Source organism: Homo sapiens, chromosome 20 (genome assembly GCF_000001405.40).
Source record: "Homo sapiens chromosome 20, GRCh38.p14 Primary Assembly".
In the NCBI taxonomy this organism is placed as follows: Eukaryota; Metazoa; Chordata; class Mammalia; order Primates; family Hominidae; genus Homo; species Homo sapiens.
In genome coordinates, this window is record NC_000020.11 from 62,594,060 (window position 1) to 62,620,300 (window position 26,241).

At 54.2% G+C, this 26,241-nt stretch overlaps 1 long non-coding RNA gene across 3 annotated transcripts, besides 6 other annotated features; it reads right to left on the reverse strand.

The window, feature by feature from the left end:
• Positions 1-205: 205 nt before the first annotated feature.
• Positions 206-9,382, reverse strand: LINC02970 (long intergenic non-protein coding RNA 2970). 3 transcript variants are annotated; one of them, NR_184037.1, is made up of 2 exons: positions 8,919-9,382; positions 206-3,159 (listed from the first exon to the last, which is right to left on the reverse strand). It is a non-coding gene; the product is annotated as a long intergenic non-protein coding RNA 2970 (long non-coding RNA). The 3 variants fall into 3 exon arrangements; NR_184039.1 differs by lacking the exon at positions 206-3,159 and adding an exon at positions 4,153-8,193; NR_184038.1 differs by lacking the exon at positions 206-3,159 and adding an exon at positions 4,153-8,643.
• Positions 9,593-10,382: an enhancer, noted in NCBI's record as "H3K27ac-H3K4me1 hESC enhancer chr20:61200859-61201648 (GRCh37/hg19 assembly coordinates)". NCBI's record gives its function as "activates a minimal SCP1, AML or CMV promoter by ChIP-STARR-seq in primed H9 embryonic stem cells {active_cell/tissue: H9 hESC(primed)}" and the evidence as "EXISTENCE:reporter gene assay evidence [ECO:0000049][PMID:30033119]".
• Positions 9,701-9,850: a silencer, noted in NCBI's record as "silent region_13114". NCBI's record gives its function as "represses an Ori minimal core promoter by ATAC-STARR-seq in GM12878 lymphoblastoid cells {active_cell/tissue: GM12878}" and the evidence as "EXISTENCE:reporter gene assay evidence [ECO:0000049][PMID:35858748]".
• Positions 10,383-11,173: an enhancer, noted in NCBI's record as "H3K27ac-H3K4me1 hESC enhancer chr20:61201649-61202439 (GRCh37/hg19 assembly coordinates)". NCBI's record gives its function as "activates a minimal SCP1, AML or CMV promoter by ChIP-STARR-seq in primed H9 embryonic stem cells {active_cell/tissue: H9 hESC(primed)}" and the evidence as "EXISTENCE:reporter gene assay evidence [ECO:0000049][PMID:30033119]".
• Positions 11,174-11,963: an enhancer, noted in NCBI's record as "H3K27ac-H3K4me1 hESC enhancer chr20:61202440-61203229 (GRCh37/hg19 assembly coordinates)". NCBI's record gives its function as "activates a minimal SCP1, AML or CMV promoter by ChIP-STARR-seq in primed H9 embryonic stem cells {active_cell/tissue: H9 hESC(primed)}" and the evidence as "EXISTENCE:reporter gene assay evidence [ECO:0000049][PMID:30033119]".
• Positions 22,746-22,895: an enhancer, noted in NCBI's record as "active region_18206". NCBI's record gives its function as "activates an Ori minimal core promoter by ATAC-STARR-seq in GM12878 lymphoblastoid cells {active_cell/tissue: GM12878}" and the evidence as "EXISTENCE:reporter gene assay evidence [ECO:0000049][PMID:35858748]".
• Positions 24,563-24,612: an enhancer, noted in NCBI's record as "active region_18207". NCBI's record gives its function as "activates an Ori minimal core promoter by ATAC-STARR-seq in GM12878 lymphoblastoid cells {active_cell/tissue: GM12878}" and the evidence as "EXISTENCE:reporter gene assay evidence [ECO:0000049][PMID:35858748]".

A 26,241-nucleotide genomic window follows, 5' to 3' on the forward strand; every position in this document is an offset into this window, starting at 1 on the left:
CCTCTCCCCAGCAACACGAGAGCACCCTTACGGTGTAAACACTAGTTTGCAGTCTAATGTTTTCAAACGCCATCATTGGCCGTCATTGAGTGCCTTGGCATTTCTCTAATCAGTGGTGCCCGTGAGCTGTTTCTCTTGTGCTCTGTGCCATTCTTTCCCGGAGCATCGCGGCCCATGTGCTCTCCACAGGACATTCATCTTCTCATTGATTTTCAAGAGTCCTTTATATACTGCAAGTATTAACTCTTTTTTAAAAGATCATTTTTTAACTTTTCATTTTGAAGTAATTACAGGGTTTTAACAAGTTGCAAAAACAGTAGAAAAGTTCCTGTGGACTCTTCATCCAACGTCCCCAAAAGTTAGCTTTGAGGCTGGGCGCGGTGGCTCACGGGCACTCATCACAGCACTTTGGGAGACCGAGGTGGGTGGATCAGCTGAGGTCGGGAGTTTGAGATCAGGCTGGTCGACATGGTGAAACCCCGTTTCTATTAAAAACACAAAAATTTCCCCAAGTGTGGTGGCAGGTGCCTGTAGTCCCAGCTACTTGGGAGGCTGAGACAGGAGAATCACTTGAACCTAAGAGGCGGAGGCTGCAGTGAGCTGAGATGGCGCCACTGCACTCCAGCCTGGGTGGCAGAGTGAAACTCCGTCTCAAAAAAAAAAAAAGTTAGCTTTGAGGATAGTGATCAATTGTACAATGATCAGAGAATGGCCACTGATACAACAGGATCACCCAGCAAACCCCTCATGCACGCCCTGCTGACCATCCCACTCACCCCTGCTGACCGTCCCGCTCACCCCTGCTGACCGTCCCACTCACCACCCTTTCCTAGTCCAGGGTCCCATGTTGTGTTTAGTCCTCGTGGCCCCTTAGTCTCTCAATCTGGGACGAATCCTCAGTCTTTGTTTTTTCATGACATTGACACTTCTAAAGAATATTGTCAGTTATTTTGTGGACTATCCCTTAATTTGGATTCACTGTAGATTTCCTCATAATTAAATTCCACTTATACAGCTGGGCACAGTGGCTCACATCTGTAATCCCAACACTTTGGGAGGCCAAGGTGGGAGGATCACTTGAGGCCAGAAGTCAAGACTGGGTAATATAGCTACACCCCATCTCTACAAAGTAAACAGTAAAACAAGAACAACAACAAAAAAACAAGCCAGATGTGGTGGTGTGTGCCTGTAGTCCCAGCCACGGAAGGCTGTAGTGAGCTGTGATCACACCACTGTACTCTAGCCTGGGCAACACAGTGAGACCCCATCTCTAAAAAAAAAAAGGAAAGAAAAAAGAAAAAAAATTAAACTGTACAATTTTGTCAAGAATACAGCAAAAGCAATGCTGATGGAGTTTCCTGGTGTCCGTGTGCCCGTTGCTGGCGATGCTGACTTTGATCTGGGGTTTGGTGGTGTCTGCTCCCGTTGACTTTGATGACGGTTCCCACCAGGATTCTGCGGCTGAGTTGGAATTCTATGGTAAGGAAAAGCTGTCTCTCCCCAATGCCTGTTTATTTATTTACGTCAGTACGGACTTGTAGATTCTTCTTCTATGGGTTATGTTTAACATCTCATCAATATCTTCCCCCACATTGTTCAGATTTGCCCAGTGGACTCCTCCCCGTGGGATCCGATGTCACGTGGGCGTGTCCTGCCTGTGTTGGCTGCGAGCGTTTCCTCCTGACTCACACCCAGTAGAGCTGCAGCCTCCACTGGGCGAGGCGGCCTTGGAAAAGGAGGCGGGTGCTGTCCTGCTGTGGAGGGGCTGGCGGGAGGTGGGTTCTGCAGGGTCAGTCCCGGGAGGTGCAGCTGTGGAGGGGCTGCTGACCCCCAGGATCCCCGAGGCCGCCTGCTCCCGAGAGGCCGCCCCACACGCCAGCCTCAGCGTCGGGAGAGGAAGCCCCACATGCCAGCCTCAAGGTCAGGAGAGGAAGCCCCACATGCCAGCCTCAAGGTCGGGAGAGGGCGCCCCACATGCCAGCCTCAGCGTCGGGAGAGGAAGCCCCACATGCCAGCCTCAAGGTTGGGAGAGGAAGCCCCACACGCCAGCCTCAGCGTCGGGAGAGGAAGCCCCACATGCCAGCCTCAAGGTCGGGAGAGACCGCCCCACATGCCAGCCTCAGCACCAGGAGAGGCCGCCCCACACACCAGCCTCAGCGTCGGGAGAGGAAGCCCCACACGCCAGCCTCAGCGTCGGGAGAGGAAGCCCCACACGCCAGCCTCAGCGTCGGGAGAAGCAGCCCCACACGCCAGCCTCAGTGTCGGGAGAGGAAGCCCCCACACGCCAGCCTCAGCACTGGGAGAGGCAGCCCCACACACCAGCCTCAGCGTCAGGCTCTGAGTCCCGTTTCTGCCTCTGGGCTCCTCGTATGTGTGTGTCAGCATCAGATGCAAAGAAAGGGGACGTATCCTGGTGGGGGGACCCGGAGTCTCCGTTGCCCCCACAGATCAGTCTCTGGGTGCCTCCCTTGGTGCTGAGAGCAGGGAGGGCCTGAGAGCCATCCCGAGCCCGTCTCGGTTCACGCTTCCCTGCCTGGCAGGACCCAGGGAGAGCTGGGCGGGTGGGGCAGCCACTCCCGGCAGTTCCGAGAGGATCTGGAGGAAACGTGCCTTACTGCAAGGAGATGGCTGGCTAGCGGTGGAGCCCTGGGCGCCCTCAGGGGAGAGCCTTCCGGGGACAGCTGCCACCCTTCTGTGGTGCCGGCCTCCTTCCCGCCATGCACCATGCCCACGGCACCCAGATGGTGGAGCCGCCGCCGGTTCACACTCTGGGGAGTTTTCCCAGCAACAGGTCCCTCCAGCCAGGGCATGCAGGAAAGTGCCCTTACGACGTGCTCAGGGATACAGCCACTGCTCCCAAACGTCTCTGCCCAGAAAGGCAGGTGGGATGTTGACCATAGACACAATAACCAACGCTTGCTGTCGTGGGGCCTGTTTGACAGAGGGACAATGGAGGCCAGAGAGGCAAAGGTGACTTGTCCAAAATCACCCAGCCAGGGCCATTAGCCACCTGCTCAGCACTGCAGCTTTTGTGCCAGGGACCTGCAGACACTCACTCACACTCATGGAGCCAGGAGGACCAATCCATGAGCACAGGGCACCTCGGAGTCCCGGGCGGGCATTCTCCGGCGTCCTTCTTCTGAAGCTTCTGAAAAGTTGCTGAGAAAGACAGAGAGGGTGACAAGAAGAGGACAGGTGTGAGACCCTGCAGAACTGGGTTCCACGTGCCAGCAGGACCCAGAGACCACGGCACTCCCTTCTCCCTACTAACTGGAGACTCCGAGAGGAGTTCTAGACATGGCAAGACGAAACAAGTCCGTATCCCTTCTTTCCCAGAATCGAGAAAAATGACCGCATTTGTCAGCAGAGCATGCACTAGGCGAGCCCTGCCTTGCTGTTTAATTCATCCCAATGCTCCTTCCGAAGGGGCCCTCAGAGGATGCTTCCAAAGCCTGGCATAGGCGAAGCTCAGGACCCTGCACCAGGAGGTCCCACCCCGGAGCCCGGATCACTCCGGGAATCACAGCTTTCGGGAGGAGCACCTTGCTACCGAGCCTTTGGGGTCCTGCCCGGGCCAGCCCTTCTGCTTAGGGACCTGCAGTGACCCTGTGCTGGGTCATGTTCTTCTTGGCACAATGAGCACTCCCTGGGCAGGTGGTCCTGGCCCCTGGGAGCTCGGGGATAGAAACACAGAAGAGGTGTGGTCGGTGCATCTCTCAGATGACTCCACTTAGAGTAGTGTCCCCTGCCTCCAGCTTCCACCAGAGTGTGCCTTGGTGGAGACAGTTGCCAGCATGGAGGGGGCATGACCAGCCTGGGCCACTGCCAGCCTTGCTCAGCTGACAGCTGCTGCATGACCTTTGGCATGGCCTGTGGTCTCCCTAGGCCTCCCCATCTGTTGAACAAGAAGTGATCTGGACCAGAGACAAGCTGGCAGCCACGGCTGGGCAGCACCCACAGGCATGTGCGTCTTAGGGCTGTGCAGTGCTGTTGAAAGTTTGCCGTACACTGCTGGGGGGGATGGAAGATGGTTCGGCCACTCTGTAAAACTGTCCTGCAGGTTCTTAAGCTAGACACACCCCTACCAGAGACTCAGCCGTTCCACTCCTAGGAATTCTTCCCAGAGGGATGAAAACGCGTTCACACAAGGACTTATGCATGACTGTCCATAGCAGTTTTATTTGTGATAGCAAAAACCTGGGGGAAAAACCAAAATGTCTACCAACAAGTGATTGGATGAACAAATCATGGTGCATCCATACAACGCAGAAATAAAAAGGAGTGGAATTTTGAAACACATGACAAAATCAAACGTGAAAATAATTATGCTGCGTGAAAGAAGGCGTGTATACATGTGACTTCGTTCATATGGAATTCTGCAAAATGCAGTTGTCTGTAGTGACATCGGTGGTTCCTGGGGACAGGGGTGGGAGGACACAGGCAGGAGGACATGCTGTGGGTGACGAGGTTCACCGTGGACCATGGGAAGGGTTTCGTGGGTGTGCACATAGGTCGAAGCTTTCCAAATCATCACTTTTACATGTGCAGTTGATTGTGTCAAATAATCCTCAGTAGAGCTGGTCAAGATAGTTGAAACTATATTCAAAACTGGGAAACTGAACATAATGACCCCAATTGCACATTTCTGTTGGAAAATTAGAAGTTCTGGTAACACTAGGCCTGTATTCAGGTGTGGTGTGGGGAGTGGGGTGTGGCTTCCAAGGGCTGGGCGTGGCTGTGTTGGGTTGGGCGTGGCTGGGCTGGACACGGCTGAGCTGGGCTGGGCGTGGCTAGGCTGGGCTGGGTTGGGTGTGGTTGGTCATGGCTATGTTGGGCTGGGTGTGGCTGGGTGTGGTGTGGCGTGGCTGGACTGGGCATGGCTGCACTCAGCTGTGTTGGGCTGGATGTGACTGGGCGTGGTGTGGCGTGGCTGGGCTGTGCGTGGCTGCACTCAGCTGTGTTGGGCTTGGCTACTGCCCTCTGCACAGGCCTCACCGCTCCTCACTGTCCACGCGCTCTGTGGTCCAGCATCATTTCTGGTCTCGTTGGCTCTGCGGATTGTGTCCCTTATGCCTGGCCAGCTGCCTTCATCAAGGGTGACTGCCTGGTGCCTGCACAAGTTTGAGTTTGATGGACTTAAATGAATTTCACACTTTTAGTCACTGAAACTTTGGCCAACCTCCATCTTCCTACAGAAGCTCCAAGCATGAAAAACACAAATGTGGAGTTACGGTGTCTAAAGCGCTGTCAGCCCTTCCAGCCCTGCACACTCCCTCCTTCTCCTCCCGGGGTGGCCACGAGGCAGCTCTAGGGTTTGCACATCAGAGTAGTGCTGGGTGTCCTTCCCCTCCCTTGCCCTGGCAGTTCCAGGCCCTGTGCCAGGACCACACACCTCCCACACAGGTCCTCTCATGGGGCTGGTGCCCCCGAGCACACGATCCCCTCTCCCTGATCCCAGGCTCCTCTGTCATGGGAGGGGTGCGAGTTCTTGGAGGCCGAGAGTGTGGCCTGCCCAGGACCACTGGGAAAATGCAGGGTGAACTGTGGGTCTGGGTGACTCTCATGAGCCCCTCCTCCATCCCCCACAGCCCCTAAAGAGTGGGACGGTCTCAGGACCGCGTCCCGGGGTGAATCGTGCTCCTGAAATGGGGACTGTGGTGCACAGTCACATCATCCCTTCACACGGCGGCCACCAGGACACCTTCAGGGCACTTCCGGTGGCAGGAAACATCCCCAGGCCTGACTGCGCCTGAGGACGGTGATGCCATGGACCAGGAGCGCTTCCCGGAGCGGGAGCAGGCGCTCGCTGGCTGGAGCTCCCCCACTGTGTCTGACGCCTCATTCCCTGGATGTTCAGGGTTCCGGTGCTCAGCAAGAACCTGTCCGGACACGCTGGGGAGCAATGCCCCCACAGAACATCGGGGGCCAGCTGGACCATGGCACGTGCCAGACACTGCACCCCAGCAGCGGTGCATGCTTCTCCAGGGCACGCAGAGCAGTGACCAAGGCCGACCGCGCTGGGTCCCAGCACAAGTCTCAGTAGATCTTAAAAGACTCAAGTCGTGCAGAGAACAAAGTAAGAATAATCTCAAGATTTGTTGAGACTTGTGTTCCTTGACTATCCCAGAATTAGAATGAAAGGAGAACCCAATACAGAACATCCTGAAACATTAAGCAACTCAATTCTAAATAACTCGTGAGCGACCGGCGTCGTGGCTCACGCCTGTAATCCCAGCACTTTGGGAGGCTGAGGCAGGCAGATCACTTGAGGTTAGGAGTTTGAGACCAGCCTGACCAACATGGTGAAATCCCGTCTCTACTAAAAATACAAAAATTAGCTGGTCATGGTGGCCCACACCTGTAATCCCAGCTACTCGGGAGGCTGAGGCACAAGAATCATTTGAACCCAGGAGGCAGAGGTTGCAGTGAGCCGAGATTGTGCCACTGCACTCCAGCCAGGCTGACAGAGCAAGACTCCATCTCAAAAAAACCAAAAGAACTCATGAGTTGTTTAGAAGTTGTTAATTAAAACAACATATCAACAGAGGAGGTGACCTGGTATTTTTAAAATGTAACTTTCATTGTTATTCAGGTAGGGTGAGGCCCACAGGTCAGGAGACAACCACCATCAAAAAGATGATTTGTCACGGGTCCCAAGAGGACAGAGCTGGCCGCATCACCACGGTGAAGGGGCACAGGGCAAGCACCAGGTAGGCCAGGAGGCAGAGGGTGCGAGGAACGTGGTGTGGGAAGGACCAGGCCAGGGGGTGGACAGGTGGAGAACTGGCTGGTTGCATTAATGCCAGCTGGTCTGGGTGTAGCTCCTGGCCCTGGGGTGATTAGGGCAGGGGGACGTTGGCCCAGAGTGTGGCCCAGTTGGGGAGCGGTTGGGGTGTGGGCTCTGGAATCCTTGATTTGCTTATGAAGGGTGATCTTGCTGGGAAGCCCTTGGAGGGGGAGCCCCTCCTGGGTCACCCCAGATGTCAAAGCGCAGAAGCACAGGGTTAATGCAGAGGTAATTAGACACTATTTTGAATTCAATGGAAATTAAAACAACATATCAACATTTGTGGGATGCAGATTGACTGGTGTTTAGGATAGATTTTACAGCAGTAATTGCTGAAACGATAAAAAAGGAAGAGATCACAAATCACTCTAAGCCAAGAGCCAGCAAGCTACAGCCCACCGGCCATGTCTGGCCCCTTCTTGCTGTTGAAAATAAAGTTATGCTGGAGAACAACTTGGTATTTTATGTGTTTTCTGTTGCTGCTTTCACGCTACAACAGCAGTTGAGTGGTTGCAACAGACACCACGTGGCTCACAAAACCAAACATATTTACTCTCTAGCCCTTTACAGAAAACCCTTGCCAACTATGATAGGAGCTTTCACCTGGAGAAACTAGTAAGGGAAAAATAAATTACAAAACGCATGCGGAAAGTAGAAGGTAATAAAGATCAGGGTGGAAATCAGCTGAACAAAAAACAAAAACAGAAAATAGAGAAAATAAATGAAACCCAAGCTGATTCTTTGAAAAGATCAATACAATTGATAAGCTGCTGGCCAGACTGACCCCAAAACAAAGAGACCCTCATTACAAACATGGAGGCTAAAAAGGACATCACCGCAGACCCTACAGATGGGAAAAAAGAGTCGAGGGGGATGGTGTCCAATCTTCTGCCCATATATTCCACAACTTGGAAGAAATGAACAAACACCTTGCAAGGAGAAACCTTTCCTTTCATGCATTAAAGACATCGTTCTGCTGTCTCCTGGCTGCCGTGGTTTCTGGCAAGAATTCTGTAGTCACTGGAGTCACTGCTTTTGTGTACGAAATGTGTTGTTTTTCTCTAGCTGCTTTCCAGATGTTTTCTTCAGTTTTCAGCAATTTGATGATGCTATGTCTGGGTCTATTTTCCTTTCTGTTTATCTTCTTTGGGGTTCACTGAGCTTCTTGAATGCTTACATTTATGTATTTCACCAGACTTGGGATGTTTCAGCCAATATTCCTTCAAATAACTTTCTGCCCCAACCTCCTCCTTGCTTTCTGGAACCAGGTATGTGCTGGGCCTTTCGATACGACCCCAGCTGGCCCGTGATGCTTGTTCTTGTTTTTCCTCTTTATCTTCGTTCTTCGGAGTGGATATTTTCTATTTATCTGTCTTCACGTTCGCTGGCTTTCCTTTGTCTCCATTCTGCTATTGAGTCCATCAGTACAATTTTAATTGCAGATACTCTATTCTTTTAGTTCAAAAATACTCATTTGTTTATTTTTTTTCCTACCTCTCTGTGAGGTTTATTATTCATTTCATCTAATGCTCCTTTCTGAGGTGTGTGTGCGTGTGCTGTGTATGCGTGCAACTCGCAAAGCAGTTACCGCGGCTGCTGTAGGCATCTGTGTCAGTTGGGGCTGGCATCTGAGCATTGTCTGTTCTCTTGAGGATGATCACACCTTCCTAGTTTTGTGTCTATTGAGTAATTTTGTTTTACGTCTGAGCACACCGTGTGGACTCTGGGTGCTGTCCTAGCCCTCGGGGAACGTTGCTGTTTCCACTTTAGCAGCCAGGTTCATCCCAAACCCCACCTCTCTCAGTGTGGTTCTCAAGACCTTTGCTGGGTTGGCACTGCTGGGTGGCACTGTGAGACTTATGCGGATTCATGCACAGAATTAGGCAATTGCCGTGTCCAGCCCTCCCCCTTCCGGGGTTCCGCCCCCTCTCTTCCCTGGCTCTCCCCCTTCTAGGGTTCCGCCCCCTCTTTTCCCCTGCTCTCCTCCTTCCAGGGTTCTGCCCCCTCTCTTCCCCCACTCTCCCCCTTCTGGGGTTCTGCCCCCTCTCTTCCCCGGCTCTCCCCCTTCCAGGGTTCCACCCCTCTCTTCTTCCCCGGCTCTCCCCATTCTGGGGTTCCACCCCTTTCTTACCTGTAGGACTCCTTTTCCCAGGTTGGGGTTTCTATCTGCGTTTTAGCTGCTTGTGTTGCCATGTGGATCTGAGAGTGGGGCTTGCCCTCCAGACAAAGCCACAAGGAGGAAACCAGAAACTCCACGGCAGGTCACTCCTCCAAGTTCCGCCTCCGCCCTGCAGTCTCCTTACTTTGCAGGTCCTCAGTAGTTGTCTGTGTCTCATCCAGAGCTTGGTCACAGTTAGGGGAGGGCTAGGCTAAGCCATAGCAGGCTCGTGGATAAAACGTCACCTCCCTGGCTCTTTCCCAGGATTTCCTGGCAGAGGCCACATTTATAAGCCATGCAGTGTAGTCACCTGCTGTGTGCCAGGCAGCAAGCGCCATTAGCCCGGGAGGTGGTGAACAGCTCCTGGGGGCACCAGCCAGCACCGTCACCGTTTGGCAGCGGAGGCTGCGGCCAGCTCCTTGTCAGGTGAATGTGCTGCATGTTGATGCAACACCTTCCTCTTCTTGCCAACCCTGGGCCAATGTCCTCAGACACAGGCAGCAACGGAAGTGGCCACCTGCCCACCATGGCCTGGGGAGAAGGGGGAAGGGTCTGACTGGGGGAGCCTCAAGACTGTGCCACTTGCCCCAATCCCATGAGAGGCACCTGCTATGGCACCTCGAGCTGGGGCAGAAGGCCTGGAGCCCGTGCCTGGATGCTGCCCAGGACTCTCAAGCTAGTCCAGTGGCCTTGGCTGCAAAGTCCTGCTCAGGCCCACGTTTCCCCAGTGCCTTGCCCAGCTCCAGAGGGAAGTGATTGACCGCAGAGCCGATGAGCTCAGAGCCGGTGGTGGGCAGTCTGGCCGGATGGCGGTGACTCAGGGAAGCGGAGGGGCTCCCCCCACCCCGCTGCTGCTGCCCCCCGCGTCCCCCCCGCCTGCAGTAACTGACAGGAAGGGGCGGGAGGCGGATGGGCCGTGACAGCTTAATGGCTTCGGTTAAAGCATCCTCTGATCGTGCTGGCGCTGGGAGAGGCTCTGAGCTCGGGTGGCACTGCGGGCACTCTGGACACTGTCTCCGGCTGCCGCTGAGCTGGGAGGCTCCTTTCCAGCAGGCCACGCGGTCAGGGGCACCTCCTGCCGCAGCACCTGCCCAGCCCTCTGGGGACCAGAGTGAGCAAAGTGCTGGTGCTGGACCTGGCCACCGCCAGAGGCAAACACAGTTGGCCAGACCCAGGCCCCACCTGTTCACGAGATGCCCCATCCCTTGGAGCCTCCAGGAGCCAGGGCAAGTGTGGAGGCAGGTGAGACCCAGCGCCAGCGTTTGCTTCAACCAAAGAACCACAGCAGAGCCGCTGGGGACAGCTTGTTCAGCCAGTGCATAATCAGTACTCAGGATTGTGGCTGGTGCCCCTGGCAGACTCAGCCCTACGGGGATCGGCCCCCAGACGTGCCACAGCTTGGCCACTCTGCTCTGAGGAGCTGTCTGTGCCCAGCACGCGTTCCAGCTTCTGGGATGCACAATAGGCGCCCAGGCCTAGGCTGCGGGACGACCATGCTTGCTGCTCACAGCGCCTGTGAGTCAGAGACTCCGACAGGCCACTTGGGATGGCCCAGGCCTCCTCCCCAAGGTCTGCAGCCTCCTCGGGGAAGCCTTGGGGCCAGAGCCTGGAGACTCCAGAGGGAGTCTCCTACAGACGATGCCGCCATCAGTGGGACCTGCAGCCGGGATCTCGGGCTGGGCCTCTCCGGCAGCCCCACATGTGACATGGGTGGGCTTCCCGAGGCCAGCACTTGAGAGAGAGGTGGAAGCCGAGACGCGGAGCCACCTGGCATCCTTTCCGACAGTCACGAGGCCCTCAGATTCCAGAAGAGGGGACAGAGACCCCTCCATGGGAGCAGCCTTGGTCATGCTAGAGAAGAGCCTGGGGCTGGGAGACCCATGGGGCATCTTTTGAAAATGCCTCCAGTCACTCGTGTGGCCACCCAGCAAGGCCCCGAGTCATGCACAGCCCACCCGTGCATGCCACCTGCCGGGACCTGCCCCATCACCTGCCGGGACCTGCCCCATCACCTGCCGGGACCTGCCCCATCACCTGCCAGGACCTGCCCCATAGCTTTGGAGCCCTGTCTGCTGCAGGGGAGGGAGGCAAGCCCCAGAACAGCCCCGAGTTCTGCTGCAGTCCGGTCAGCCGGGGGCTTCCTGCCCCATTCAGTGTCCCAGGTCTGCATTCAGCAAGGGTTGGATGCTCCACCAACCCTGACCCCCCGGGAGCATACACCTGTGGGAGCAGGTGCACCCCACCTCCATGCACACACAGACACCTCCAAGGTTTTCCTGAGAGACAAGATTTGGCTCAGGACTCGCTGCTCAGAACCTGAAGGTGTAGAAAGTGCACACACTCCTAGCAGAGCCGACCTACTGCTATACCCTCCCAGCCGGTGCCCCAGGTCAGAGCCTGCCCCTTCCCCCAACCCTCCTGCCTCACCCACACCCCTGTAGCCTTGGGGACCCACAGAAACCACCGCAATGACCTCTTCTAGCAGGCAGGCCTGTGGTGCGCCTGCTGAGCTCAACCCTCCGTGAACTTGGCTGGCCCTTGCCAGGCGCAGCTCAGCCCTGCATCCGCTGGCACTGCCCACCAGACTTGCCCACCTGACCGGGACCGGGAATCTTCCTGTAGCCTCTCTAGGGAAGGTGCACTTTTCTCTAGCATCCTTTCTCTGGCTGATGGAGAGGGAGCTGGGTGAAAGGCAGGGCCTTGGCCAGAGCAGGCCTGATGGGTGGCATGGGGCTGGGGGTGGAGGAAGTTGGGGGAGGAAGTGTCTCTGGAGGTCCAAGGCCTCAGCTGGCCCTGCCCCCTGTAAACAGCCCTATTTTTTAAAAGGCCTCCTTACCCAGCTTCAGGGGTTTAAAGGACACCCCCTTCCCTTGGCCATTCCTGGGGACCCCCCCGACCATCCACAATATTGTACTAGTATCTAAAGCAGCCAGCAAGTCCTGTCTGTCTGGAGAAGGTGAGAGTTTTCAGGGGCTCAGGACGTGCTGAGCTGGGGGGAGCAGGGGGCATGGCTTGACACCTCACAGCGGCTTCCTGAAGCTCAGTGGTGCACAAAGCAGAGCCCACAGGGGAGCCCTCGTAACTCAAGGCCTCCAGGCCATGCTAAATACCCAGAAGCCACTGGTGGGGACCACTGAGGCCATGTGAGCAACACATTTATCATGAACAGCTGTTCCCCGTGTTACTCCAAGACAACACGAACAACTGGGCCGGGCAACCCAGAGAAATGCAAACTCTTCCTCATTCAGAAATAGCAAAGAAAGTTCTCCTTCCAGAAGGGCCCTCCCCACACCTTGTAAAAGCAATTTTAAAAATACAAATAGAGGCTCCTTCCTCATGCCAAGGTTCATTATTAAGGAAGAGAGCAGTTCCAGGCAACGCCTTTATTTAAATATGATGATTAAACTGTTTGGTTTTAATGCAAATGGAAGACACCATCTGAAATTCTGAAAGGAGAAAAAGACGCTGCTGGAGGTGGGAGGAAGGGAGAGGAAGGCAGGAAGGGAGGAGAGGAAGGGGCCAAAGCTGGTGAAATTCCTGGCATCAAGAAACCCCCTGGATGGAGAAAGAGCATGAAAACAGCAAACGGCCGCGAGGCAAACAGCAAACGGCCGCGAGGCAAACAGCAAACGGCCGCGAGGCCGAATGGACCACATTCCAGGCGAGGCGGGGGCAGTGTTCAGCTGTAGCTGCTCCCTGGGGACCCACACCCTGACCCCGTGCTAGGGAGCACTGGGCTGGGGGCCAGCGAAGCACTCTGGCGTGGACGGCAGGCCCATTTTTAACGGTGCTATTTCATTAGCAGTTTTACTCAGCTGCTGGCAGGGCCCCAGCACGGCTGCCTCTGTGGCTAGAGGGGTGCAGGGGGTGCTGGGCTCCAGGCCAGGCAGTGCCCATTTCCACAGAGCCAGTGCCCCCACACAGCCACATGCAGCAGCTTCCTTGCTACACCACGGGGCCTCCCTGGGGACTCTGCACCTGCAGCGCACACACTGTCCCCACCTGGCCCTGCCCACGGGGCTGCTGCAGAGGCGGGCTGCCAGCTCTCGCTCCCTGGGGAATCTGGAATCCCAAACTGGGAGACGGGGCGGGGGCGGGGCGATAATATCTGCACCAGCTGCGAAGATCAAAGCACCTGTGCACGAATGGCTGACCCAGAGTCTGGCCCCCTCATATGTGACCCACGCCCCGTGAAGGCTGCACCTGGAAACCTCTTTGCCACGTCGCCATCGTGGGCTAGTCTCGAGCTGCGCCCCAGCCAGAATCCTATGTATTTGCAAACTGAGGACAGAGAGGGTCAGCTGTGTGTCCACCACTGTCCACACCGATTTTAGATAATTTGGTTTCCTCTTTAAATAGCGTTTAAGGGAACGAGCAAACTGTCACCTCCTGAAACAAGTTTCCAATAGATTAAAGTGGGTCTTGTCTATATAGCACGCTCTGAAATGATCCTTGCCCATGTTGCCGATTAAATGCTTATGTGCTCACTGTCTCTTGGCCCCCAAATATAGGGCCTGCCTTAAACCTTCAAACCAAGGCGGCAGTGCCTTCGTGTTAGAGTCCACTTCTTTTTATTGCCTCTTGCCTAGAAAATTATCGCAGGGGTGCACATGCTGCATCTCCCACGAACAGTTGTCTGAGGCTGGGCTAATAGAATGTCTCATAAACCTCGAAAAGATGTTTCAAGAACACCTCCTCCTCTTGGGGCCATTCCCAGCCGAGTTCCAGAATCCTCAGGCCAGCAGGGAGATGGTGTCTGTTGGGACACTGCGGAGGGACCCCTTGTTGAGGTGGTGGCCCCAGTCCTGCCTTGGGGACCCAGCCCTGCCCTGTTCCATCCCTCTGTGTTCCGGATGAGGCTGCCCAGCTGCAGTGAATGGTCGGGGGTCGGGCCCGTGACCCGGTGAGGCGGGCGAGTCCATGCCTGGAAGTGAGGAGTAGGCTCGGTTCTTTCCAGTCCTGCTGCTTGCTGTCCTGCTGCTGCTGTCCTGGCACTGGGAGAGGCCAGCCTGCAAGGACAAGGCAAACTAGATGGGACCCTTCGGAGAAATCAGGCCATGGCAACACCTTTCTAATCTTAAGTCCTTGGCCAGCTACCATGCCCTGGAGACCTGCCGGTGTTCGGGTTCCATGGGGGGCAGCATGGCCATGCAGGGGACCCTCAGGAGGCTCCCACCAGGCAGCTGAAAAGGCACAACACTGGGAAGACCCAGGGCCATTCCACCAGGGTCCTGACCAGTCCTCAAAACCGCCAAGGTCATGAAAAACAAGGCGAGTCTGAGAAACCCACAGCCTAGAGGAGCCCACGGAGTGAGGAGCAAATGTTTCCTGGGGTCCTGGACGGGGCCCTGGGACAGGAGGGCGTCAGGGAAGTGCAGCATCCGGCTCCTTGCCGTGGACAATGCTGGCACTCTGGCCGTGACCAATGTCGCCTGTGACGTGAGACCTTAGCACCCCGGGGGGCTGGGCGTGGGTGTGTGGCGCTCTCTGAACTATCTTTGCAACTGTCTCGTAAATTTAAAACAATTTATTTATTTATTTATTTATTTTGAGATGGAGTTTCACTCTTGTAGCCCAGGCTGGAGTGCAATGGCACGATCTCAGCTCACTGCAACCTCCGCCTCCCGGGTTCAAGTGATTCTCCTGCCTCAGCCTCCCGAGTAGCTGGGATTACAGGCGCTCACCACCACGCCCAGCTAATTTTTGTATTTTTAGTAGAGATGGGGTTTCACCATGTTGGCCAGTGTGGTCTCAAACTCCTGACCTCAGGTGATCCACCCGCCTCAGACTCCCAAAGTGCTGAGATTACAGGCGTGAGCCACTGCACCTGGCTTTTTTTTCTCTTTTTCTTTTCTTTTTTTTTTTTTTTTGAGACAGAGTCTCGCTCTGTCACCCAGGCTGGAGTGCAGTGGTGTGATCTCGGCTCACTGCAACCTCTGCCTCCCGGGTTCAAGCGATTCTCTTGCCTCAGCCTCCTGAGTAGTACCCGGCTAATTTTTGTATTTTTAGTAGAGACGGGGTTTCACCATGTTGGTCAGGTGGTCTCAAACTCCTGACCTCAAGTGATCCGCCCACCTCAGCCTCCCAAAGTGCTAGGATTACAGGCATGAGCCACCATGCCCGGCCTAAAACAATTCTTTAAAAAAAGTATTTTAAAAAGAGGAAAATAAAACACAATTTGAACATTCATTGAGGAAAATAATGTTTTTTCAGAAACGAACTGCACTTTAATTTAATTTACTTGTTCACATTTTGGTCAGAACCCTGGAAGGAGATGAGGAAGCAGGTTTGACAGGCACGTGGCCACCGTGCCTGGGTTCCATGGTTTTATTAGAGAGCCAAGAGCAGTTGATGGCAATGATGAAGTCCCAGAGTGGAAAATGCCCCGCCCAGCCCTGGGTTTAACTGGCCTGCTGGCTGAGTGGACGCTGGTGTTTTTGCGCGGGCAGCAAGGGCTCAGAATCCCCATGTAAGACCCCGCAGCCATGATGAAGATGAGCTTTTTAAAAGTCAGAGGCTCCTGGCAGCTGCTGTGTGGGAGTGACATGGGGGAGGATGTGTGTGACATCAGGGACACCCCCAGCCCTGGCTTTGAGCAATAATGCTGGCAAGCCTGGGTGCAGATACGGGATTGGGAGAAACCAAGGCCTTGAACCGCTGACGGACTTGGTGGGGGAGACGCTGAGCAACAAGGAGCTGCCCACTGTGGAGGCAATGTTCCCATCCCGCAGGGGACAACTGTCCCTCTTCTGCCCCACCAGGTACAGAAGAGCCACAGGGGACAGGCAGAGAGGAAATGCAGAGGCTGGGGACTTGGGGGGTGGCATTCCCCACCCCGGGGCATTAAGAGGTCTCTCCAGGTAAACAGAAGCTGGAAGGAGCATGAACTCCCGGCAGGAACAGGCCTGCTGGCGTGAGGGGCCACAGGCCAGCGAGGGGCCCGGGATGCCGGTGCAGCCCCAGTGCCAGGAGGTCCTGTCGTAGGTCCCAGGCCAGCTCCTTCCTCTGTGTGAAGGGAGCCTGGAAATCCCAGAAAGATCTAACAGGATCAGCAGAAAACCAGGATGGAAATGCTGTGGAGGCCGCCTGCTGCCCGCCCTGCTGTGGGGGCCGCCTGCTGTCCGCCCTGCTGGAAGAATGTCCCGGGCTGTGGCTGGCCAGCAACACTGCCCACGGGCCCTGGCAGAGGAGGGAGGCGTGGAGCACCCTGCACCCTCCAAGGCTAAATTCAGAGGCGGCCGCTGAGATTTCTCGAGCTCATCTCCCAAGCACGGCCCTCAGAGTCAGATGACGGGGGCTCAGGGTCAGCATCCTACAGACCCCCAGAATCATCAGGACCCCAGCTGGGGCAGATGGAACAGATTGGGGCAGAGGGTGCGCCAGTCTGAGCTGCCCCCTGGCTTCCAGCAGCATCCCTCCATTGTGCTGAATGTGCCTCCGCCAGGCTTCTAGCAATTTCCAGGACCTCATGGGAGAGGCTACTGGCTGAGCTCCACCCAGGACTCTTTGCCACACCCCTTGAAAGCAGAGAGCCACAGGGCTGCCCTGCTGTCCCTCACTGGCCATCTGGACCGTCTGTCCATTTGTCAGCTCTCCATGGGGTGCCAGTGCTAGGCCAGGTCCTGTCTGGGTGTGGGGATATGAAGATGAGCAAGAAGGCAGGGTCCCCACTCATGGGCCACTGTCCAGTGGGTGAGGCCAGCTTGAATCAGATGATCACCCACTAACAGAACATGCAACATGATAAGTGCTTAGAATATGACAGAGAGTCTGGGCTTAACCAGAGGGCTTCCTGGAAGAGGTGACATTTTAGCTGAGACTGGAGGATGACTGGAGATTGTCTGGGAGGGAAGAGCATGGCGTGGATGTTGCTGTGGTTAAAACGTACATGGTACGGGGGTGGGAGGGGCAGGAGGCTGGAGACCTGGAGAGGGGTCTGGTCGGTTTCTAAGAGCAGGAGAGAGCTATCAAGGGGCTCCATGCTAGAAGGGACTGGATTGGAGGGGCTGGCTGGGAAGGAAGCAGGGATGCTCCAGGGTGCAGGGAGTATCAGGCTGTTACTGTTCTATAAGGTGATGGCTTGAACCTGGGAAGGGTGACAGAGATGGGGAATGAAGAACACCAAAGATATTTGGGAGATCAACCAATAAGATCAACACCAGACACTGTCACCTGAGTTCCTTATTGTATCAGTCAGCTACAGCTGTGTAACAAACAGCCACAATCAGCTGCAGACAGTAGACAACATTTCTTTCTGAGTCCCATGTCCACGGGCTGATCCAGCTGGTTCTGGCTGTGGGCAAGGGTCTGCTCTGCTTGCTGTTTCTTGTCCTCCTGGGACCAGCAGGCTGCCTGGGGCCAGTTCCTGCCATGGTGAGGACGGAAGTGCCAGAACATAGCCTGACTGCCCATGTGCAATTCAAACCTTCACTTGTGCCATGTTCACCAAGATCCCATTGGCCAATGGAAGTTATGTGGTGGAGCTCAAGTCCAGGAGGTGGAAGAAGACTCTTCTTGCCTTGAGGTCCCACGCGAGGGTGTGGGAACATGCTGCTGCCGTGGGGAGGGGAGAACCGTGGCTGAGAGTCCACCCGGGAGTGTGCTCTCGTTTCCCAGTGACTCTGTGGAGAGAAACATGCCAACAAAACTTATACTACAGGTAAAAGGAAGAAGACTTTGACAAAGGTGGAGCCCTTGACAGGGAATCATTTTGGGTGAAATGTCCATTAAGGAGAAAATATCTTTTTCAAAGGCCCCCTGTCCCTGGGCGTGTCAAATGCCAGTGCAAACCTAGGCCAAACACACGGAGAAATACTGGCGAGATCAACAGTTCAGGTGGGAAAATGGGCAGGTTGAGCGGCCGTCCAACTAAGAGGCCCTGGAAGGACCACCGCCTCCCTGAAGGAGCTCAGGAGGGAGAACGAACTCCCGAATTCCCAGCCCGAGTCGCAGAGCACAGGCGGAGGGGCCTGCAGATGCCCTCCTTCCAGCTCCCGCCCCACCAGGCTGGCAGCTGCCCGCAGACCAGCCAGACAGCGTCATTACAGTAATCCACCGCGGCAATGCTACACATAAAAAGATTGCTTTCCCGGAAAACTGCTGACACGCGGGTCTGGGAGGGAGCACGCCTGAGAGAGAGGAGAGATGGGCCTCCTGGATCCATACGATGCATGATGGCTCCAGCTTTAATCAATTTTCAACCCTTGAAACTAAAATAGTCGTGATTGATGAAATTCCACAAGTCAGATCTTCTCTCTATTGCCCGTGTGCTGTGAGCAGTGAAGAGGTACGCTCCCCTCAACAGCACCTCCAGGCACAGGGGGCCTTGGGCAGCCTCGTCGGAGATCCTCCCTGGGACACCCACCCTACCCCAGGCCCCTCGCGTGCTGACGTCCAAACGCAACATGAGCAGACACAAGCACGGGGTGTCTCCCAAAGGAATCATCACACCTGCACCCCCCATATCTAGGGGACACTCTCTCTGTGCTTTTTAAATTTTTTAATTAAAAATCTTTGATACATAATAGATGTACACATTTTCAGGGTACGTGTGATAATTTAATCCAGTCATGTAATTTGTAAAGGTTAAATCAGTGTAATTGGGATATCCATCAGCTTAAATATTTGTCCAATTTAGAATGATTCTCTCCTAGTTATTTTGAAATAGACAATAGCTGATTGTAATTATAGTCACCCTAGTGATCTGTCAAACATTGGGTCCTCTCTCTTCTATCGAACTGGGTGTTTGCCCTCGTGAATCAGCCTCTCTTCATCTCCCCTTCCCCTCCCCTTCCCAGCCTCTGGTAAGCATCAGTCTTCTCTCTGCCTCAGCAAGACCCGCTTTTTTTCACTCCCATGTGTGAGTAAGAGGGTGCGATATTTGTCCTTGTGTGCCTGGCTTATTTCACTTAACATAATGGCCTCCAGTTCCATCTGTGTTGCTGCAAATGACAGGATTTTATTCTTTTTTTGTGGCTGAGTAATATTCCCTGGGTATCACTTTTGCTTGTCCAGCAGATCCTCAGCAAGATCAGGAGTCTGTACTCCGGGGTCAGCAGTGGTTGAAACTGGCCCCAGGCCTCAGGAAGTCATGTCCCAGTGGACGGAGAGGTGACTGATAGAGGAAAAACAGTCCTCCCCACGGACAGGAGACTCACAAGTTTGTATGAGGGGAGTTCCTTGGAAATATACAGGAAATATCCACTTCTATCCATTTTCAAACCATATAATTATATTCCATCTGTGATCTCTACTCACTCGACCAATTATTGAAATGAGCTATTTGAAGTGGAGATGAGAAGTCTTATGTCACCACGTACCTAAATCTACTGACAGTTTAATAACTGGAATGAATATAGATCATTTTATGGCCCTGAAATGAGTGAGGCCTTTCCAAGCATCACAAAGGAAAAGATTGATATATTTGACTACATGAAAATTAAAAGCATCTGTATAGTTAGAGATACCATAAACCAAAATTAAAAGCAAATGGCAAACTAAGAGAACATATTTTCAATAGACATTACAGACAAAGAGTTAATTGTGTTCTCATAAAGCAATATAGTTTTTAAAAGACAAGCCCACCCCTAGAAAAATGGGCAAAAGACGTGAACAGGCATATTTGCCAATTACACTCTAACCAATAAGCTTATGACAAATGCCTGACTTCTCTTGAATCAAAGAAATGCAATGAAAGCATCCGTGATATTCAATTTATCTTCTGTCAAACTAGCAAATACCATTTTAAATTGTAAAACCAATTCTGGCCTAAGAATTGGGAAAATACCTGCTAGCAGAAATAAATGGGCACATCTTCTTGGGGATGGGGGTGGGGGCAATGGTGCATTCTGGAACAATGTACCCAATCCCAATAAAACTCATTAAAATGTGTCCTAAGAGGATGAGTCTCTGCACAAAAATTTGCATGGAAGAACAGTCATTACATATAATACGAAAAGCTGGAAACGGTCTCAAAAGTTAAATAAATCATGGTAGAAAGGCACGCAGCCACTGAAAGTGTTGTAGAATATTCATTGACATGTTATTCACTGACATGGAATGGTGTCCAGGCTAGGCTGACACGTAGAATAAAAGAGAGTTGCACAAATGGTGAACATCACGTGTGTACTATTCTGTAAGAAAGAAGGTGAAGAATTAAAGAAGTAGGTGATGAAGGGCATGCGAGTCCTGGTTCTCCCCAAAAACACTCTCTGGGGAACTGAGGGACCATGTGAACTTTCTTGCTGTCAATCAGAAGAGATTACTAGAGAAGCGGGTCAGTTTCTTATCTAACATGCTGACTCACCACCTTCCATCCCCACTGATTTTGTCCCGTGGATCGCTCTCCACAGTAATTTCGAAGCATCCTGTGGGAGGGGTATCCTGGGACTCACAAGCAAGTGCAGAGCCCGGGGAAGGCTGCACGCTCTGCCAGTGGCCACCAGACCCAGTGAGCCCTGGGTGCAGCGGAGGAGGCAGAAGCAGCAGGGTGGCAGGGGCAGCTGCCATCACCATTTTTTTTTTCAGCTAAAACTGATTTGTTAAAAAGGTCGTGCGAGTGACGGAGAGGTGCAGGAGCGTGGCCGGCCTCGCTCAGCCACCTTTCAGACGTGGAGGAAGACTGTGTGCAGCAGTTGCTGGCGTCTGCCTGCGTTTGAGTGCGAGCTCTACGCTCACTGGCGATGGGACCCGGGCAGCCACGGCTCCTCATTGTTTTATCCTAATCTCGAATGTGGGACATGGTAGTGTCTGGTGTGAGGTTCATACGAGTTATCATAGGGTCACCGCTCACGAAGGAAGCGTCCGATAAATGCGCGTGGCCATTGTTAACCTTGTTATTGTTACTGCATACAACCAAGCAGACACGGCCTCTTTCCAAGAGCATTTGGCTTGGATGGAGATTATGAACATCCAGCTGAGGCACGTGCACGCCCTGCACCACCGAGTCCATCAGAAGCACATACGTCGTTCCCAAAATGTGTGTGCTAGAGAGTTGACAGCGCCCGGTCATAATTATCTCAAGCTGAAAGCAGCCCAGACGCCTGCCAACCATTTCGTGTGAGTAAATACACTGTGGGATCTGCCATGCACTATGGCCCCGTGAAGGAGCAGCCTCAGCTGTGCTCAACAACCTGGATGCATCTCGCAACCTAACGTCTCGTGAGACAGCCTGGCACGCACGACGCGAACTGAGTGACTCTGCCCAGCGGAAGCACAGAACAGGCCAAACTGGCAAACGGCGTGGCACGTCCTCAAAAATCAAAAGTAGAATCACCTTGGGATTCAGCAGTGCCGCTTCTGGAAACCGGGTATGTGGCCGAAGACCTGAAAGCTGGCTCTGCACTTGTACACCTGTGTTCCCAGTAGCCTTAGTCACAGTAGCCCAAAGGTAGAAGCCACCAAGCGCCCCTCGGTGGATGAACAAAATGTGGTCTATTCACACAACGGAATATTACTCAGCCTTAAAAAAGAAGGGACTGCTAACACCGGCTACGAACTGCACGGCCCCGGAGGACACTGTGCTGAGTGAAATAAGCAGACACAGAAAGACAGGTCCTGCGTGCCTCCACTCGTACGAGGTTCCTAGAGTGGCCACACGCGTAGAGACAGAAAGTAGAGTGGGGGTAGGAGTGGCAGGGAGTTGCTGTTTCATGGGGACAGAGCCTCCGTTTGGGATGATGAAAGTTCAGATGGTGGGTGGTGGTAGCGGTTGCATGTACGTGTTTCTGTGTGTTGTTGTCCATGTACATGTTTTGGTGTGTCGTTGTCTGTGTACATGTTGTTTCTGTGTGTTGTTGTCTGTGTACATGTTTCTGCATGTTGTTGTCTGTGTACATGTTGTTTCTGTGTGTTGTTGTCTGTGTACATGTTCCTGCATGTTGTTGTCTGTGTAGGCCATGAATCTGCATCACGCCAGTGTGTTTATAATGTTCATGCTGCACATGTCTGTCAAATGAGCCAACGTGGTGCGTGTTTTATGATCTTTCACTCGATCACATGTTGAGCACTGTGCGGGCTCAGGTCGCTGTCACATCATGGGGGCTGCAGAGTAGAGACCGACCAGCCGACCCGGCACGTTGCCTGGGGCTGGGCTTGGATCTCTTGGGGATCGTGGTGGGTAAGAGTGAGGAGGGGTCCCCATTCTGAAAGGCATGAACAATGCTTTCATTTGCCCCTTACCCCCAAGATTCCAGTTGGTCAGGGAGTCCCCCTTCTCCTGCCCTCCTGGGTTAGGGGTCCTGGCCTTTGGTGGGTAGGGGGCAAAGTGATGAGTAGAATCTAAACATGCTGTCATGGTTTCAAATGGTGGTAAGGCTGTTCATTCACCTGGGTAACCAGTGCCCCCATCTTTCAGGGTCTGTGGGATTAGAAGCAACTTTTATTCCAGCCTCTTGACTTATTCTTATTTTCTAAACTTCTATAATGAACTTGTGTTGGTTTTTTAAAAGGAAAGAAAATGTATTTCCGGCCAGGCGCGGTGGTGGCTGAAGCCTGTAATCCCAGCACTTTGGGAGGCTGAGGCAGGCAGATCACCCGAGGTCAGGAGTTTGAGACCAGCTTGGCCAACATGGCAAAACTCTGTCTCTACTAAAAATACAAAAATTAGCAGGGCGTGGTGGCACACGTCTGTAATCCCCATGCATTTGGTGGCGATGTGAGGCCCAGTTGGACTTCCTGCATGCAGAACTGATTAGAGGCACCTGGGCCTCCCCTACCCGTGTGCTGGGGGCCTCCTCTGACCTCTGCACCTGGAGCTTGCAGGTAGATGCTGAAGTTGAGCTTCCCTGCACCTTAGTGTTCTGGGATCCCAAATCTATCCACCCCGCTGCTCCACCCTGCTCAGGGTGCCCATCAAGGGCCGTGGGGACTATAGCTCATCAGAGACCTTCCTGTTCCTCCTCAGAGATGCTGGTTTCCGAGGAGTCCCAGGAGGGCTCCCAGCAGGGGCCGACGGACATCCACACAGCAGCAGATTCCAGCTGGGGTCGCTGGGTGCCTGGGCTCAGCAGGGGCGAGGCTGCCCTCTCATGGCCAGGAGAGGCACTGCCTGGGAGGCCAGTGGGAAGGCCCCGGGGACTTCACAGGTCCACACCCGCAGGGAGAGGAGTGGACCCCACGCAGGGATTGGGCTGTTGGGGCCTCTGTGCCTCCCGGAACCCCACGCATTTGGTGGTGACGTGAGGCCCAATTGGACTTCCTGCATGCAGAACTGATTAGAGTTACGAGAAAGACTTTTTAAAAAAAGACCCTGAGATGTCAGCTTTGGCAGCTGTACCTACCGGTGGAAGAACAGGCTCCTTCCCTCAAGCATGACTGAAAACCGTTTAAAAAGAAGTGCTCTGATTCAATGGTTCCCAGTTACACCGAGTTATGGAGACATCGTCCCTGGAGCGGGGCCCGCAAGAGTCTTTCCCTCCCATGGGGCAACGCAGTGGCTGCGGATCCCAGCCAGCCCCGAGGGACACAAGTGTGGCCGTGGTCAGCTGCGGCTTTGCTAGAGGCCCTCCCTGCTCTCATGAGACCCCGAGGGTGTTGGCTTTCTGCCCCCAAGACTGACAAATGGCCAGGTGGGCCTGCAGGTGACCTCCTTCCCTCATGGGCAGCAGGAACCAGGTGGGCCCCCACAGTGCCTGGGGCAGCTTATGCAGCAGTTACAGAGATCTGGATCTGGGTGAGTGTTTCCTTTTATTCCTTCTTATATTTTCAAAAATATAATATGTCTATGCATAGAAAAATGCCCGCAGCATATGCAGAAGTCACCAGCACATACTGGGATGATCCCAGGAGGCAGTGGTCAGTGAGGTCAGTGGGGTCCCCTGCCCCAAGGCCACCTAGGGGCCCAGCCTTGCCTGGGGCCAAGACATCACTGAGCAATGAAGATGTGAGCCTGGGGCACCTGTGACTCTGCGTGTCACTCCAGAGCCCAGCTGAGGCGCTGGAAGGGGCTCCAGGAAAAGCCAATTTGGGCACCCGGAGGGGTGACACCCACAGTGGCCCAGGTCTTCTGCTTTCTTGAAATCCACGAGATTTTGATGAAATAAAAGCCATTGGCGCCTCCTTGGGGTCTCACAGTCTCACGTGACAACCGGGAGAGAAGCCGGAGGTGGGTGGGTCAGGCCATTCCGGGCACACAGCGGGACAGCAGACCCTGAGGACACTTGTCCCCGCCTGGGAGTTCTCCACCCTCCTGTTCTCGGATGTGACTCAGCAATGCCAGGGCTCTGCAGCTCCGGGAAGGCCCCGAATCGGCCTGCCAGGCCCACTGTGAGACACGAGGAGGAAGGGGTGGCGGCTCCTCAGCCGACACTACCCCAGGCAGGCTTCCTGTTTGTGCCCCACTAGGACCTGTCTCCTGCACGGCCAGCCCTGAGAGCCCCACAGGGTTCGTCTGTTTCTCCCCCAGAGACCAGGAGGCTGGAGGGATCCGTGGGCCCATTTTACAGATGGCATAGGGCAGAGACTCGAGGCCAGGCCTAGGTCTGGCCTCACACCTGACCCCCACCTGCCCCCAGCCAAAGGTCACAACCCCAACCCCCTCCACATCCGTAGGTCATGCCTTGGAAAACTGCCCCACCCATGCAGAAGATGGGAGATTTTGTCTAAGAAAAGAATGATGGCTTTGCAAATATTTCCACTCTGGTTCCCCATGACAGTTCACTGTGAAACCCCGGTGACCCCACATGACCTGCCGTTTCCTGTACAAGGGGGTCCCAGGTCTGAGTAATTTTGAGATCACGAGGTCCCAGGATGTGGCATTTGACACGGGCAGCTAAGGCCAGGAGCAGCCAGCAACCCCAGAGCCCAGCCCCTCCCCGGGGCTCTGAGGGGAGGAATTCTCTCCCCCGGGTAAATGCACCCAGGTGGAGGTGTCAGGTCAGCCACACAGACCGACCTTCCCGCCCAACGCTCCTGACTCACCAGGGCTGGAGGACCACCAGGGACCTCCCTGAAGGCTCCATCCTGTGTGGGCTGACTGTGGGGCCAGAGAAAGAGGAAGCTTCCAGGCTGGGCCCCACTACCCAAGAACCTAAAGCAGCCCCCGGTTCTGCACGGGGAGCAGCGTCTCCTCTTGCCCCCTGGCTGGTGAGCAGAGCTTCCTTCCACAAAGCGGGGGGTCAGTGGAGACAGCCCACTCTATCCCCAAAATGCTGGGCCAGTCGGGGGATGGGCCACTCTGTCTCTGAAATGCCAGACCAGATTGTTCATCTGCAGGGTTTCTTCGGCGCGAGATGAGAGGCCTCTGGTCCCATCCTAGGAACCACGGCCCAGACTGTCCCTGCCTCAGAAGAGTGACATGGACACCCACACACAGTCCCCCCAAACAGAGACACACACGCCGACAAACCTGTGCACGCTCATGCCCACTCACACGCCACACCCCCTCCCCTGCTGGGCACCAGATAATGGAGCTGCGGAGCTGTGTGGCTGCAAGCCGCCCTTTCCGAGCTTCTGCTAGGTGGTGTGTTCAAACCTGCAGGCTTCGAAGAGTTCTGAGCATCTAGAAGAGCAGAGTCCAGTAAAAATGTAGCAAAGCCACGCATGTAAGTTTACCTGTGCTGGCAGCCATACTGACAAAAGGGAAAATAAACAAATGAGATTAATTTTAATACTTTTTTATTTATTTATTTATTTTTTGATACGGAGTTTCGCTCTTGTTGCCCCAGCTGCAGTGTAATGGCACAATCTCGGTTCACTGCAAACTTTAGCTCCCAGGTTCAAGCTATTCTCCTGCCTCAGCCTCCCAAGTAGCTGGGATTACAGGTATGCGCCACCACGCCCAGCTAATTTTGTATTTTTAGTAGAGACAGGGTTTCTCCATGCTGGTCAGGCTGGTCTCGAATTCCCAACCTCAGGTGATCCGCCCGCCTCGGCCTCCCAAAGTGCTGGGATTACAGGCATGAGCCACGGCACCCAGCCAATACTATTTTTATTTAAATCCAATAGAGCCATAATATTATCACTTGGATAATCAATACAAAGAATTATTATTTTGAGGGATGGAGTCTCGCTCTGTCACCCACGCTGGGGCACAGTGGCGCAATCTCGGCTCACTGCAACCTCTGCCTCCCGGGTTCAAGTGATTCTCCTGCCTCAGCCTCCCGAGTAGCTGGGATTGCAGGCGTGTGCCACCCCATGCCCAGCTAATTTTTGTATTTTTAGTAGAGATGGGGTTTCGCCATGTTGGCCAGGCTGGTTTCGAACTCCTGACCTCAGGTGATCCACCTGCCTTGGCCTCCCAGAGTGCTGGAATCACAGGCATGACCCACCATGCCTGGCCTAAAGAATTATTAAAGAG